Source organism: Homo sapiens, chromosome 3 (genome assembly GCF_000001405.40).
Source record: "Homo sapiens chromosome 3, GRCh38.p14 Primary Assembly".
In the NCBI taxonomy this organism is placed as follows: Eukaryota; Metazoa; Chordata; class Mammalia; order Primates; family Hominidae; genus Homo; species Homo sapiens.
Window position 1 is genome coordinate 49388005 of NC_000003.12, and position 14929 is coordinate 49402933.

The 14929-nt window shown below is 47.0% G+C and overlaps 1 protein-coding gene across 7 annotated transcripts in view, besides 1 other annotated feature; it reads right to left on the reverse strand.

The window, feature by feature from the left end:
- The window catches only part of RHOA (ras homolog family member A), a 52832-nt gene that overhangs the window by 28860 nt on the left and 9043 nt on the right, over positions 1–14929 (reverse strand). The window lies entirely within an intron of this gene.
- Positions 728–1497: an enhancer, noted in NCBI's record as "H3K27ac-H3K4me1 hESC enhancer chr3:49426165-49426934 (GRCh37/hg19 assembly coordinates)". NCBI's record gives its function as "activates a minimal SCP1, AML or CMV promoter by ChIP-STARR-seq in primed H9 embryonic stem cells {active_cell/tissue: H9 hESC(primed)}" and the evidence as "EXISTENCE:reporter gene assay evidence [ECO:0000049][PMID:30033119]".

Consider the following 14929-nt stretch of genomic DNA (forward strand, 5'->3'; position numbering starts at 1 on the left):
CTCTTTTTTTTTTTTTCCTGGAGACAAGGTCTCACTCTGTTGCCCAGGCTGGAGTGCAGTGCTGTCATCAAGGCTCACTGCAGCGTCAAACTCCTGGGCTCAGGTGACCCTCCCACCTCAGCTTCCCGAGTAGCTGGGACTATAGGTGTGTGCCACCATTCCCGACTAAATTTTTTTCTATTTGTGTGGGTGTGTGTGTGGAGACGGGGTTTTGCCATGTTGCCCAGGCTGGTCTCAAACTCCTGGGCTCAGTGATGAACTCCTGGGCTTAAGTGACCCACCCGCCTCTGTCTTCCAAAGTGGTGGGATTATAATAGGTGGAGCCATGACATCCAGCCAGCTGTGGCTTTCTGAGCTTTAGGGAGCTCTGCTATAGAAAGAATGATAGGTGAAGGCCAGTCCTTTTCACACTTTACAAGTCAAAGTGATTTCCTGGGATAACTATAGCTCATCTGCATTGCTGCCTGCCTTGCTTATCTGGGTGCTGAGTGTGGGAGTGGTGTGTCCATCATATGTTCTTCAGATGCTACAGTGGCTACTGACTATGCTTCAGTAGGTAAATTAAAACCATGCATTAATGAGCAACTCTCCGCATTTCACATAGCAGTCTTTGGTAATTTTCTCACATTTGTGTGACCATGATGCTTACTCACATTTGTCTGGACAACTTCCTGAAGGCCTTCTGGAGCTGTTCAATGGGCCAGCCCACTAATAACTAATTTAGTATCTCACATTTTGAAATGTGGAGCTGTTCAATGGCCAGCCTACTAATGACTAATATCTCACACTTTGAAATCTTTGTTCATTAGCTTTTAATTAACAAAACAATCCTATCTAAGCTACATATCTAACCATGTGTTATAGCCATACAGTGGAGTACTACTCAGCAACAATAAGGAACGAAGTACAGTACTGTACTGAAACATGCTACAACATGGATGAATCTTGAAAATACTATGCTCAGTAAAAGAAACCAGTCACAAAGAACCACATGTTTCATACCATATTTGTATGAAATATCCAGAATAGGTAAATCTACAGAGACAGAAAGCAGCTGCTGGGCGTGGTAGCTCACGCCTGTAATCCCAGCACTTTGGGAGGCCGAGGCGGGTGGAACACCTGAAGTCAGGAGTTCAAGACCAACCTGGCCAACCTGGTGAAACCCCATCTCTACAAAAATACAAAAAAAAAAATCAGCCAGGCCTGGTGGCGTCCACCTGTAATCCCAGCTACTCGGGGGGCTGAGCTTGCAGTGAGTGAAGATTGTGACATTGCGCTCCAGCCTGGGCGACAAAGCGAGACTCCATCTCCAAAAAAAAAAAGGAGCATAGTGGTTGCTTAGGGATGAGGCTAATAGGGACTCTCCAGGCAGAACCCAAGAAGAATGTGTGAGCTTAGTTTGGGGTTCAGCAGCACTTGCTGAGAGGAACCTGCTGTGCTTCTCAGATTCCCTAGGCCCATCTTGGAAGGACTTAACTCCAGAACAGGTTCTGAGCGGCAGGTCTATTTCCAGCCACATGTCATTAATAGACTAATTCCTCTGCTGAAAAAGAGTCATGACACTTCTTACTTCTTACAGCAGTGAACAGACTCAGGAGCTCTGTTCTGTCCAGAATTCCAATAGCTAACAACTTACAATAAATAAAAGTTACAGAAGCCGGGCGCGGTGGCTTACGCCTGTAATCCCAGCACTTTGGGAGGCCGAGGCAGGCGGATCACGAGGTCAGGATATTGACACCATCCTAACACAGTGAATCCCAGTCTCTACCACACACACAAAAAATTAGCCGGGCGTGGTGGCAGGTGCCTGTAGTCCCAGCTACTTGGGAGGCTGAGGCAGAAAAATGGCATGAACCCAGGAGGTGGAGCTTGCAGTGAGCCGAGATGGTGCCACTGCACTCCAGCCTGGGCAACAGAGTGAGACTCCACCTCAAAAAAAAAAAAAAAAAAAAAGTTACAGACAAAACAGTAAGACTTGATTAGTAGGCCCAAGTACACATACTGATTTAGAAGACAGAAGCAAATCAGTTTCACAAAAGGAGCCTTCCCCTCCTTTATTGGCGGGTCCCCGTCCATCTATAATACCCACAGACTGTGAGAAGCAAATAGCTTTGACAGTCCGTTGTCAGGAATTTTTTTTTTTTCTTTAAGATGGAGTCTCACTCTGTCACCCAGGCTGGAATGCAGTGGCACAATCTCAGCTCACTGCAGCCTCCACCTCCCGGGTTCAAGCGATTCTTGTGTCCCAGCCTTCTGAGTAGCTGGGACTACAGGCACCCGCCACCACGCCCAGCTAATTTTTGTAGTTTTAGTAGAGACGGGGAACATCTTGGCCAGGCTGGTCTTGAACTCCTGACCTTGTGATCCACCTGCCTCGGCCTCCCAAAATGCTGGGATTACAGGCGTGAGCCACTGCACCCAGCCTTAATTTTTGTATTTTTTGTAGAGACGGGTTCACCATGTTGGCCAGACTAGTCTTGAACTCCTGACCACAGGTAATTCGCCTGCCTTGGCCTCTCAAAGTGCTGGTATTACAGGTATGAGCCACCACGCCCAGCCCCATGTCAGGATTTAATTCACACCTTACTTGGGATGCTAGCCAGTTTGAACCAGTCAACATGTAAAAGGAAAATACAGATGTAACAAAAGTTGGACTGGAAAAACACGTGGCTTAATCCTCTGTCTAATATTCCAAGGAAAATTTACAAATTTTGATAGAGTGACAGTAGAGAAACTGAAAAAATCTATTTCAGAAAAGGTAAAAGGCGTCATGGATATTAATATAAAAGAGTACGGGGCCAGGTGTGGTGGCTCTCCCCTATAATCTCAGCATTCTGGGAAGCTGAGGCGGGCAGATTACTTGAGGTCAGGAGTTCGAGACCAGCCTGGCCAACGTGGTGAAACCCCGTCTCTACTAAAAATACAAAAATTAGGCTGGATGCAGTGGCTCATGCCTGTAATCCCAGCACTTTGGGAGGCTGAGGCAGGAGGATCACGAGGTCAGGAGATCGAGACCACCCTGGCTAACACGGTGAAACCCCGTCTCTACTAAAAATACAAAAAACTAGCCAGGCGTGGTGGCATGCACCTGTAGTCCCAGCTACTTGGGAGGATGAGGCAGGAGAACCGCTTGTACCCGGGAGGCAGAGGTTGCAGTGAGCCGAGATCGCACCACTGCACTCCAGTCTGGGTGACAGAGCAACGCCGTCTCAAAAAAAAAAAAAAAGAAATACAAAAATTAGCCAGGTGTGGTAGTACACACGTGTAGTTCCAGCTACTAGGGAGGCTGAGGCAGGAAGATCAGTTGAACCCAGGAGACAGAGGCTGCAGTGAGCCAAGATCACACCACTGCACTCCAACTTGAGCGACAGAGTGAGAATCCGTCAAAAAAAAAAAAAAAAGTAAAAATTATACATACTTAGGCAGCAGAGTCACTGCTTCAAGTGTGAACACAACAGACAAAAAGTCTGGATTGCATTCAATCCTACAACTGGTAATGTCACAGCTTCACTGCCCAACGTGGTAGCTACTAGCCACATTGTGACTTTCTTTTTTTAAGACAGAGTTTCGCTCTTGTTGCCCAGGCTGGAGTGCAATGGCGCGATCTCAACTCACTACAACCTCCGCCTCCCCGGTAGCTGGGATTACAGGCATGCACCACCATGCCCGGGTAATTTTGTATTTTTAGTAGAGACGGGGTTTCTCCATGTTGGTCAGGCTGGTCTGAACTTCCCAACCTCAGGTGATCCGCCCACCTCAGCCTCCCAAAGTGCTGGGATTACAGGCGTGAGCCACTGTGCCCGGCCTAATTAATTTATCTTTTTTTTTTTTTTTTTTTTTTGAGACAGCGTTTCGATCTTGTCCCCCAGACTGGAGTGTAATGGCACGATCTCAGCTCACTACAATCCTGCCTCCCAGGTTCAAGTGATTCTCCCGCCTCAGCCTCCCAAGTAGCTGGGATTATAGGCATCCACCACTATGTTCGGCTCATTTCCGTATTTTTAGTAGAGACAGGGTTTTGCCTTATTGGCCAGGCTGGTCTCGAACTCCTATCTCAAGTGATCCACCAGCCTCAGCCCCCGCAAAGTGCTGGGATTACAGGCGTGAGCCACCACACATGGCCAATTAATTTATCTTTAAAAAAACAAACAAAAACAAAAAAACAATGCTGGTCAGGCACAGTGACTCCCACCTGTAATCCCAGGATGTCTGAGGCCAGGAGCTCGAGACCAGCCTGGGCAATACAGTGAGACCTCATTTCTACAAATAATAAAAATTAGCCAGGCGTGTTGGTGAGTGTCTGTAATCCCAGCTACTGGGTGGGTAAGGGTGGGAAACTGAGGTGAGAGGACAGCTTCAGCCAGTAGGTAAAGTCTACAGTGAGCCATGATCATACCATTGCTCTCCAGCCTGGGTGCCAGAGTGAGTCCCTGTGTCAAAAACAAGAACAACAAAAAACTGATGTTTAAATTTTAAAATATTCTTCCTTTTTATCAAGTAAGTAAAAATTTTAAAGTATTGAATAAAAGACAGGTCTTGCCATGTTACCCAGACTGGTCTCAAACTCCTGAGCTCAAGTCATCTGCCTGCCTCAGCCTTCCACAAGTGCTGGGATTACAGGTGTGAACTACTGCACTTGGCCTAAAATTTTTCATTTTCAAATTCAGTTCCTTGGCCACACTGACCATATTCAATGCTCAATAGCCACATGTGGCTGGGAGCTATGGTACTGGACAGTGCAGATATACAGCACGTCCACCATCACAGAAAGACAACGCTGTTCTAAACATGTCTCCCACAGCTGCTGGATTGGTCAAAGAAGACATATCCACAATTTAATGTCACAAATTTTTCCAGAAAATGGTCACCACAAACATCAGGTCTTTTAGAGGCCAGGCGTGATGGCTCACTTCTGTAATCCTAGCACTTTGGGAGGTCAAGGGGGGTAGATCAGCTGAGGTCAGGAGTTCAAGACCAGCCTGGCCAACATGGTCAAACCCCGTCTCTACTAAAAATACAAAAATTACCCAGGCATGGTGAGCGTGCCTGTAATCCCAGCTACCTGAGAGGCTGAGGCAGGAGAATCGCTGGAACCTGGGAGGCGGAGGCTGCAGTGAGCCAAGATCGCGCCACTCCAGCCTCGGCAACAGAGCAAGACTCTGTCTCAAAAAATAAAAAAATCAGGTATTTTAAAGATAAATTCTAAGTGCTCCCATCCATCTTTTACGCTTCCTTCTTAGTCACTCTGCCACCTACTACTGCAGTATAATGGTGATCTTCTCCTTGCCAGGCCCAGTGGCCTTGTGTCAACTTTTTTTTCCAGAGAGGGTCTGCCTCTGTCACCCAGACTGGAGTGCAGTGACGTAATTATGGCTCACTGCAGCCTCAACCTCCCAGGCTCAATCAGTTCTCCCACCTCAGTATCCCAAGTAGCTGAGACCACAGGCACACACCACCACGTTTGGCTAATTGCTGTAGAGATGGGGTTCCATCATATGGGCCAGACGGGTCTCCAACTCCTGGGATCAAGCGATCTACCTGCCTTGGCCTCCCAAAGTGCTCAGATTACAGGTGTAGGCCACTGCACTGGCTTTTTTTTTTTTTTTTTTTTTTAAGAGGCTCAGCCTCAAGAACAGTTAGGACCACAGGTCCCTTGTCTCAAATTCTCTCTCTGTGTGTGTGTGTGTGTGTGTGTGTGTGTGTGTGTGTGTGTGTGTGTGTGTGTGACAGAATCTCGCTCTGTCGCCCAGGCTGGAGTGCAGTGGTGCAATCTCGGCTCACTGCAACCTCCGCCTCCCGGGTTCAAGCAGTTCTCCTGTCTCAGCCTCCTGAGTAGCTGGGATTACAGGCATGCACCACTACGCCTGGCTAATTTTTTTTTTTTTGAGATGGAGTCTCCTCTGTTGCCCAGGCTGGAGTGCTGTGGCATGATCTCGGCTCACTGCAAGCTCCACCTCCCGGGTTCACGCCATTCTCCTGCCTCAGCCTCCCAAGTAGCTAGGACTACAGGCACCCGCCAACACGCCTGGCTAATTTTTTTATTTTTTATTAGAGACAGGGTTTCACCGTGTTAGCCAGGATGGTCTCAATCTCCTGACCTCGTGATCTGCCTGCCTCAGCCTCCCAAAGTGCTGGGATTACAGGTGTGAGCCACCGCCCCCGGCCTAATTTTTGTATTTTTAGTAGAGACAGGGATTCACCATGTTGGTCAGGCTGGTCTCGAACTCCTGACCTCGCGATCTGCCTGCCTCAGCCTCCCGAAGTGCTAGGATTACAGGCGTGAGCCACTGCATCCAGCTCCTTGTCTCAATTCTTATTGCCCCGACTGGTCTCATACAAACCACTTTTTTGTTTTTGTTTTTCTGAGATAGAGTCTCTCTCTGTTGCCCAGGCTGAAGTGCAGTGGCATGATCTTGGCTCAATGCAACCTCCACCTCCCGGGTTCCACCAATTCTCCTGCATCAGCCTCATGAGTAACTAGAATTACAGGTGCGCACAACCATGCCCAGCTAATTTTTGTAATTTTAGTAGAGATGGGGTTTGACCATATTGGCCAAACTGGTCTCAAACTCTTCACCTCAAGTGATCTACCTGCCTCGGCCTCCCAAAATGCTGGGATTTCAGGCGTGAGCCACTGCATCCGGCCACAAACCACTGTCTTCTATGGGCCATTCCTTGTTCTAGCTACTAGAGATACAGCTTTATCTGGAAAACACTCAGGGAAAACAGCACAATGTAATTAAGTGCTGTAACAAAAGCTTATCTTCTCTGGTATGAACTCAGAGAAAAGGCAAGTGATTCTGCCAGAGAGCTTCAGATAAGATGATATCTGACCTGGATGGACCTTGAAGAAGGAGGACAAGTCCCCTGGAAAGAGCGGTAACGATGGTTCAGGAATACTTTCTAAGGTGAGGAAACAGCTTGAGCAAATAACCTCAATGACCAGTAACACAAGAATTTGGCGGTCGGGCGCGGTGGCTCACGCTTGTAATCCCAGCACTTTGGGAGGCCGAGGCGGGCAGATCACGAGGTCAGGAGATCGAGACCATCTTGGCTAACACGGTGAAATCATGTCTCTACTAAAAATACAAAAAAAAACAGCCGGGTGTGGTGGCAGGCACCTGTAGTCCCAGCTACTCGGGAGGCTGAGGCAGGAGAATGACGTGAACCCGGGAGGCGGAGCTTGCAGTGAGCCGAGATCGCACCACGGCACTCCAGCCTGGACGACAGTGCAAGACTCCGTCTCAAAAAAAAAAAAAGAATTCAGAAAGGAGATTTTTGAAAATAAGGGTGGAAAGATGGGGCGATGGTTAGACCAGAGGATATGGTATGTCATGCAGAGCAATCTGCATTCTATTCTGTAAGGAAGGGAAAGCCACTGGACCAGCACAATCAGGTCTGTAATTAATAGAGAAACAAAGCCTGGCCGGGCACGGCTGTTCACACCTGTAATCCCGGCACTTTGGGAGACTGAGAGGGGTGCAGATCACCTGAGGTCAGGAGTTCAAGACCAGCCTAGCCAACATGGTGAAACCCCATCTCTACTAAAAATACAAAAATTAGCCAGGCGTGGTGGTGGGCGCCTATAATTTCAGCTACTCGGGAGGCTGAGGTAGGAGAATCGCTTGAACCCAGGAGGCGGAGGTTGCAGTGAGCCAAGATCACACCACTGCACTCTAGCCTGGGCAACAGAGCGAGACTCTGTCTCCAAAAAAAAAGAAGAGGAAGAAACAGAGCCTTGGCAGGGCACGAAAAGTGATTGAGTGGTTAACTGGATAGGGATGAGAAAACTATGGCAAGGGTATGAGGGTGCCCAAAAGAAAGAACCCTAATGGAAGGGGAGGTGGAATGGGCACAATCTAAGGAGGCGTTTTCCAAACCTCACAAACATTTCCCCACAGTCAGCTGAAAAATATCAGTGCCCAGGTAAGCTGTTATTACAGGTAAAAACAGCATAGTCTTCCAGTGTATGGAATGGAGAGGGGCAGTGATCTAGCCAAAGAGTGCCACCAACACAAAGGAAGTGGTGGTCATGAAGAAGCCAGAAATAACTGAAATGCTCAAAAAGGTATGATGATAATGAACACCAAGAAAAAAGGAAGAACACATTACAAGAAAAGAGTCCAAACTACATGCTTGCAAAAAGAACACAGGTCTATGAGGAGGTGTCCAGCAACAGGAGAAAACCTTTTCATATAGCCACAGGCAAGAGTAGATGGCAGTGAATTGAGAAAACGTGGGCACTGAGATATGTGGTGGAAAATGTTCTTTCAAGAAGTCAGCCCGGGGCCAGGCCTGGTGGCTCACGCCTGTAATCCCAGCACTTTGGGAGGCTGAGGAGGATGGATCATTTGAGATCAGGAGTTAGAGACCAGCCTGGCCAACATGGTGAGACCCTGACTCTACTAAAAATACAAAAAATTAGTTGGGCGCGGTGGCTCGCACCTGTAATCCCAGTACTTTGGAAGCCAAGGTGGGCGGATCACGAGGTCAGCAGTTCGAGACCAGCCTGGCCAACATAGTGAAACCTTACCTCTACTAAAAATACAAAAATTAGCCGGACATGATGGCACACGTCTGTAATCCCAGCTACTCGGGAGGCTGAGGCAGGAGAATCGCTTGAACCTGGGAGGTGGAGGTGTCAGTGAGCCAAAATCGTACCACTGCTCTCCAGACTGGGCAACAAGAGCAAAACATCACACACAAAAAAAGTCAGGCCGGGTGCAGTTATCAGCACTCTGGGAGGCTGAGGTGGGAGAACTGCTTAAGCACGAGTTCAACACCAGCCCGGGCAACATAGTGAGACCACATCTTTACTAAAAAAAATTTTTTTAAAGTAGTCAGCCTGGGCTTGGTGGCTCATGCCTATAATCCCAGCACTTTGGGAGGCTGAGGTGGGAGGATCACTTGAGCCCAGGAGTTCAAGACTGGCCTGGTCAACATGGTGAGAGCTTGTCTCTACAAAAAATAAAAATATTACCCAGGCGTGGTAGCATATACCTGTGGTCCCACCTACTCTGCAGGCTGAGGTGGCAGGATCGCTTGGGCCCAGGAGGGCAAAGTGGCAGTGAGTAGTGATCGAGACACTGCACTCCAGCCTGGGTGACAGAGCAAAATCCTGTCTCAAAAAAAAAAAAAAAAAAAGTCAGAAAATAAATGTTACAACATGGATGAACCTTTAAAACATTGCATAAATGAAAGAAGCCAGTCACAAAAGACAATATATGATTCCATTACACGAAATATCCAGAATAGGCAAATCTATAGAGACACAAAGTAGATTAGTGGTTACCTAAGGCTGGGCGTGGTGATAGGGAGATTGAAGATGACAGTTGAAGAACATAGGGTTTCTTTTTGAGGTGATAATAATGTTCTAAAATTGACTGTAGTGATACACGTAAAACTCTGTGAATATACTAAAACCCACCAAACTGTTCATTTCAAATGAATGGTGTGATATATGAATTATATCTCAGTAAAATTGTTACCAAAAGAGTTGGTTTTTGTTTTTTTAAAAAAAATAAGCGTTGAAAGTATGGCAGAGACTGCCTGCTTATCTGCCTCAATAGCTTTCCCCTTCATAGTCACATGGCTGCCAGTTATAAAGACTACATTTCCCAGCATTCACTGCAGCTAGGTGGGGTATTAAGATCTGACCAACAGACTGTATGCAGAAAATGATGATGCAGGAGAGCAGAGAACTGCTAGAGCAACATTACGAGATTAGAGGGGAACGAGATTTCGCTTGCAAGTGGAAGGGCTGACCTTAGATAGAACAATGGACTCCCAAGGGACTGATCCACAGGAATAGAAAAATAAGTAAGAAGCAAGATCATAACAGCTGATAGAGGCAAGGAAAGGGAACAGGAGATTTGAGCCAAAGGACATGGTGCTATATTATCCTAAAAGCAGGAGAATAAACGGACTAAGGAATCTTAGCGGGACTGCTAGGCAGTGCTAAAAGCAGCCACCTTTGAGGTCAAGGGTCCATGAGTTCAAAGAGAGACAAGTCAGTGAATTTTTTCTTTCGCTACATTCAGTCAAAAGCACAGAATAGGTAAAGAGTAGGATTTAGGCTAGGCGTGGTGGCTCACACCTATAGTCCCAGCACTTTGGGAGGCTGAGGTGGGCAGATCACTTGAGGTCAGGAGTTTGAGACCACCCCGGCCAACACGGTGAAACCCCATCTCTACTAAAGTAGCCAAGTGTGGTGGCGCGCTCCTGTGGTCCCATCTACTCAGGAGGCTGAGACACGAGAATTGCTTGAACCCAGAAGGCGGAGGTTGCTGTGAGCCTTGAGATCGCACCACTGCACTCCACCCTGGGTAACAGAGCAAGACTTTGTCAAAAAAAAAAAGTAAGATCTAAACCAGGGCTGAGATTTTGCCAGGTAACATAAAATGAGAGACAGAACAAGAAATGGAGAATACATAAAAGGGGGTAATTACAGTGATAAACTAAAGGTAAGGAGCAGTGAAAGGGTAGGCAGTAGCATCAATAGATGTTAAGCCCCAGTGGGGGCTTAAAGAATTTTGCTGGCAGGGCGCGGTGGCTCACGCCTGTAATCCCAGCACTTTGGGAGGCCAAGGCGGGTGGATCACGAGGTCAGGAGATCGAGACCATCCTGGCTAAAACACCATGAAACCCCGTCTCTACTAAAAGAAAAAAAAAAAGAAATACAAAAAATTAGCTGGTCGTGGTGGCGGGCACCTGTAGTCCTAGCTACTCTGGAGGCTGAGGCAGGAGAACGGCGTGAACCCGGGAGGCAGAGCTTGCAGTGAGCCGAGATTATGCCACTGCACTCCAGCCTGAGCGACACAGCGAGACTCCGTCTCAAAAAAAAAAAAAAAAAAAAAAAAAAAAAAAAGAATTTTGCTGTCTGAGTATTACAGTATTATTACAGGGCTTTAATACTGGTGGCTCACGCCTGTAATCCCAGTTATTTGGGAGACTGAGACAGGAGAATTGCTGCCTCGGGAGGCAGAGGTTGCAGTTAGCTGAGACTGTGCCACTGCACTCCAGCCTGCGTGACAGAGCAAGACTCCGTCTCAAAAAAAAAAAAAAAAAAAAAAAAAAAAAAAAAGGCTGGGCACGGTGGCTCATGCCTGTAATCCCAGCACTCTGGGAGGCCGAGGCAGGCAGATCACGAGGTCAGGAGATCAAGACCACCCTGGCTGACACAGTGAAACCCCGTCTCTACTAAAAACTACAAAAACTTAGCTGGGCGTGGCGGCGGGCACCTGTAGTCCCAGCTACTCGGGAGGCTGAGGCAAGAGAATGACGTGAACCTGGGAGGCGGAGCTTGCAGTGAGCCGAGATCGCACCACTGCACTGCAGCCTGGGCGACAGAGCGAGACTCTGTCTCAAAAAAAAAAAAAGTGTGTTAACAAATGATCTCTGAGACAAGATTATTAAATGAAAAAAGTGATGTGCCAAATATGTCATATGCTATCATACCATAGTGTAATGGCGGGATACATAGATATACAAAACAGGGCTTGACAGAGGTGTACAATATTCACCAATAGACACTGGTATATGTATAGACTGTCTCTAGAATAGTACACAGGAGCTTTTTTTTTTTTTTCCCCCAGAAAGGGTCTTGCTTTGTCACTCAGGCTGCAGTGCTGGAGTGCAGTGGAGTGATCATGACTCACTGCGGCCTAGAACTCCTGGGCTCCCCTCAGCTGCCCCAAGTGCTGGGATTACATGCACTGGTCTACAAGAAACACAACAGGTACCTCTAGGGGCCATATATCCTTTTGCACTGTTTGAATTTACCAAATAAAACTATTATGTTTTCGAACAAGATAAATTTTTAAATGTAGGGACTTTAAAAGATTTATATAGTAGATTACATCAAGGGGGTAAGAAATAAAGCAATACATATGCAAAAATCCATCTTGGAATCTGAACTCAAGAAACTACAGAAACGGCTGGGCACGGTGGCTCACGCCTGTAATCCCAGCACGTTGGGAGGCCGAGGTGGGCGAATCAGGAGTTCGAGACCAGCCTGACCAACAAGGTGAAACCCGTCTCTACTAAAAATACAAAAAAATTAGCTGGGCATGGTGGCACGTGCTTGTAATCCCAGCTACTCGGGAGGCTGAGGCAGGAGAATCGCTTGAACCCGGGAGGCGGAGCTTGCAGTGAGCCGAGACCGCGCCACTGCACTCCAGCCTGGGTGACAGAGCGAGACTCCATCTCAAAAAAAAAAAAAAACAAAAAAAACGAAACTACAGAAGCATACTGCCCCCCTCTCCCCCAACATCTTCCCTAGTCTAACCAAAACTGGCCACCCCCCACCACCTCCTGTTTCTATAAGGAGATAAAACAAGATTATCTGTGTTCAGGCCAAGGGTTGATTCCCACTACTCATAACATTTCCCCTAAACCTCATTTTAAAGGCCAAGAGTTACACCCTCACCACCAGAGGCCTCAGTGGCTTCCTGGCTACTCTAAATTCTTCTTTATCCCTGAACTCCTACAGCACTTCGTCTTTCAGTGCTGTTTCATGCCTATGTGAGCTTGAATCACTGAATACTTTGTTCTGGTACAGAGAAGACTGTATCAGGACTTGGTGCCATGCGTCTGTAATCCTAGCTACTCAGGAGGCTGAGGTAGCTGGATCCCTTGAGCCCAGGAGTTCAAGGCTGCAGTGAGCTATGATCATGCCACTGCACTCCAGCCTGGGTGACAGAGCAAGATTGTAGCCAAAAAGGTGAGGTGGGGGGATGGTATATAAAAGGGTTAATTTCCAGCCGGGCACGGTGGCTCACGCCTGTAATTCCAGCACTTTGGGAGGCCGAGGCGGGCGGATCACGAGGTCAGGAGATCAAGACCATCCTGGCTAACACGGTGAAATCCCGTCTCTACTAAAAATACAAAAAAATTAGCCGGGCATAGTGGCGGGCGCCTGTAGTCCCAGCTATTCGGGAGGCTGAGGCAGGAGAATGGCGTGAACCCGGGAGGCAGAACTTGCAGTGAGCTGAGATTGCACCACTGCACTCCAGCCTGGGCGACAGAGACTCCGTCTCAAAAAAAAAAAAAAAAAAAAGAGTTAATTTCCTACCTTTTAGAAAGGAAACTTTCAAAAGCCCAAATTACTAATATTAGACACTAGGGCCTTCAAATTTACTTCCTCTAAGTTACTACCCTTCTTTTCTGAATTGACCTTAGGAAGTTACTTCTTTCCAAACAAGACCTACAAGTAACAACGCATAGTATGTAAAACTCCTGACCAGGTGTGGTGGCTCACAACTGCAATCCCAGCACTTTGGGAGGCAGGAGGACTGCTTGAAGCCAAGAGGTGGAGACCAGTCTGGGCAATACAGTGAGACCTCATCTCTCAAAAAAATATGAAAACGGACAGGCAAGGTAGCTTATGCCTATAATCCCAGCACTTTGGGAGGCCATGGCGGATGGATCACTTGAGCCCAAGAGTTTGACACCAGCCTGGGCAACATGGCGAAACCTCTGGGAGGCAAAGGTTGCAGTGAGTGGAGATCGGGCCACTGCACTCCAGCCTGGGCGACAAGAATGAAACTCTGTCTCAAAAAAAAAAAAAAAAAATTGGGGAAATGAAGTTGAAAACATAGAGCTGTTTATTTTGTTTACTGACTGCATGGGAAATTCCTGATGAAAGGGCCAAACTACCATCCATCCATCTGTCCATAATGAACTTGAGCCTGGTATAGGTTGAGTACTGCTTATCCAAAATGCTTGGGCCCAGAAGTGTTTCAGATTTCAGAATTTCTTCAGATTTTGGAATATCTGCATTATACTTACTGGTTCAGTATCCCAAATCCAAAAATTGAAAGTCTGAAAGGCACCACTAGGCATTTCCTTTGAATGTCATGCCAGCGCCCATCTTGAAGCATTTCAGATGCTCAACCTGTACTGCCATTATTTGGCCATCCTGATCAAGTGGCTGCCAAGCTCTTAGTTCAAGAGCTTTCCTTTCTGTAGCAGTAAGGGCACTTGGAGATCAAGAGCAGCAGGAATAAGGCACATGGTGGTAAGCAATGAAGAAAACCTTCAATTTACTGCCAAGTGAAAATCACTTCAAACTCAAGTTCTTTGGGGAAAGACAGGCAAGGAACAATCCCTGAGGTAACATACCGTCAAGTTTCCTAAATAAGAGCATGAAATCATTTATCTCAAAATGTAAATATTATAAGGTTAACCTTCAATGGATGCACAGAATCAGGATTTGACTTTGTTTGGCCTAATTCCAAACTTACATTGCCTCTAAGACAATGCGTATCTAGTAAAACTGACAAAGAAAAATGAACCATTAGGTACCTCCCAGTGAGCTGGCTAAGAATTTATATATGCTTATTGTAAACCTTATTGCAGGAGTTTACTTTTACCAAGTATATATATTTCTTAAAATAAAAAACTAGGCCGGGTGCAGTGGTTCACACCTATAATCCCACCACTTTGCGAGGCCAGAGCTCAGGAGTTAGAGACCAGCCTGGACAACATGGCAAAACGTCATCTCTATAAAAATTAAATTAATTAACTAGGTATGGTGGTGCTTGCCTGTAGTCCCAGATGCTCATGAGGCTGAGGCAGGAGTATTACTTGGGCACAAGAGTTAGAGGCTGCAGTGAGCCACGATAGCACCACTGCACTCCAGCCTGGGAAACAGATCAAGACTCTGTCTCAAAAACAAACCAAAACTTGTCATATTCTAGGAAGCCAAGCAAATAAAACGAATGAACAAAAAAACTAGTCTAAAAAACTTTAGGCCAGGAGCAGTGGCTCACACCTGTAATTCCAGCACTTTGGGAGACCGAGGCAGGAGGATCACAAGGTCAGGCCTTTGAGACCAGCCTGGCCAACATGGCGAAACCCCGTATCCACTAAAAACACAAAAAATTAGCCGGGCGTGGTGGCGGGTGCCTGTAGTTCCAGCTACTCGGGA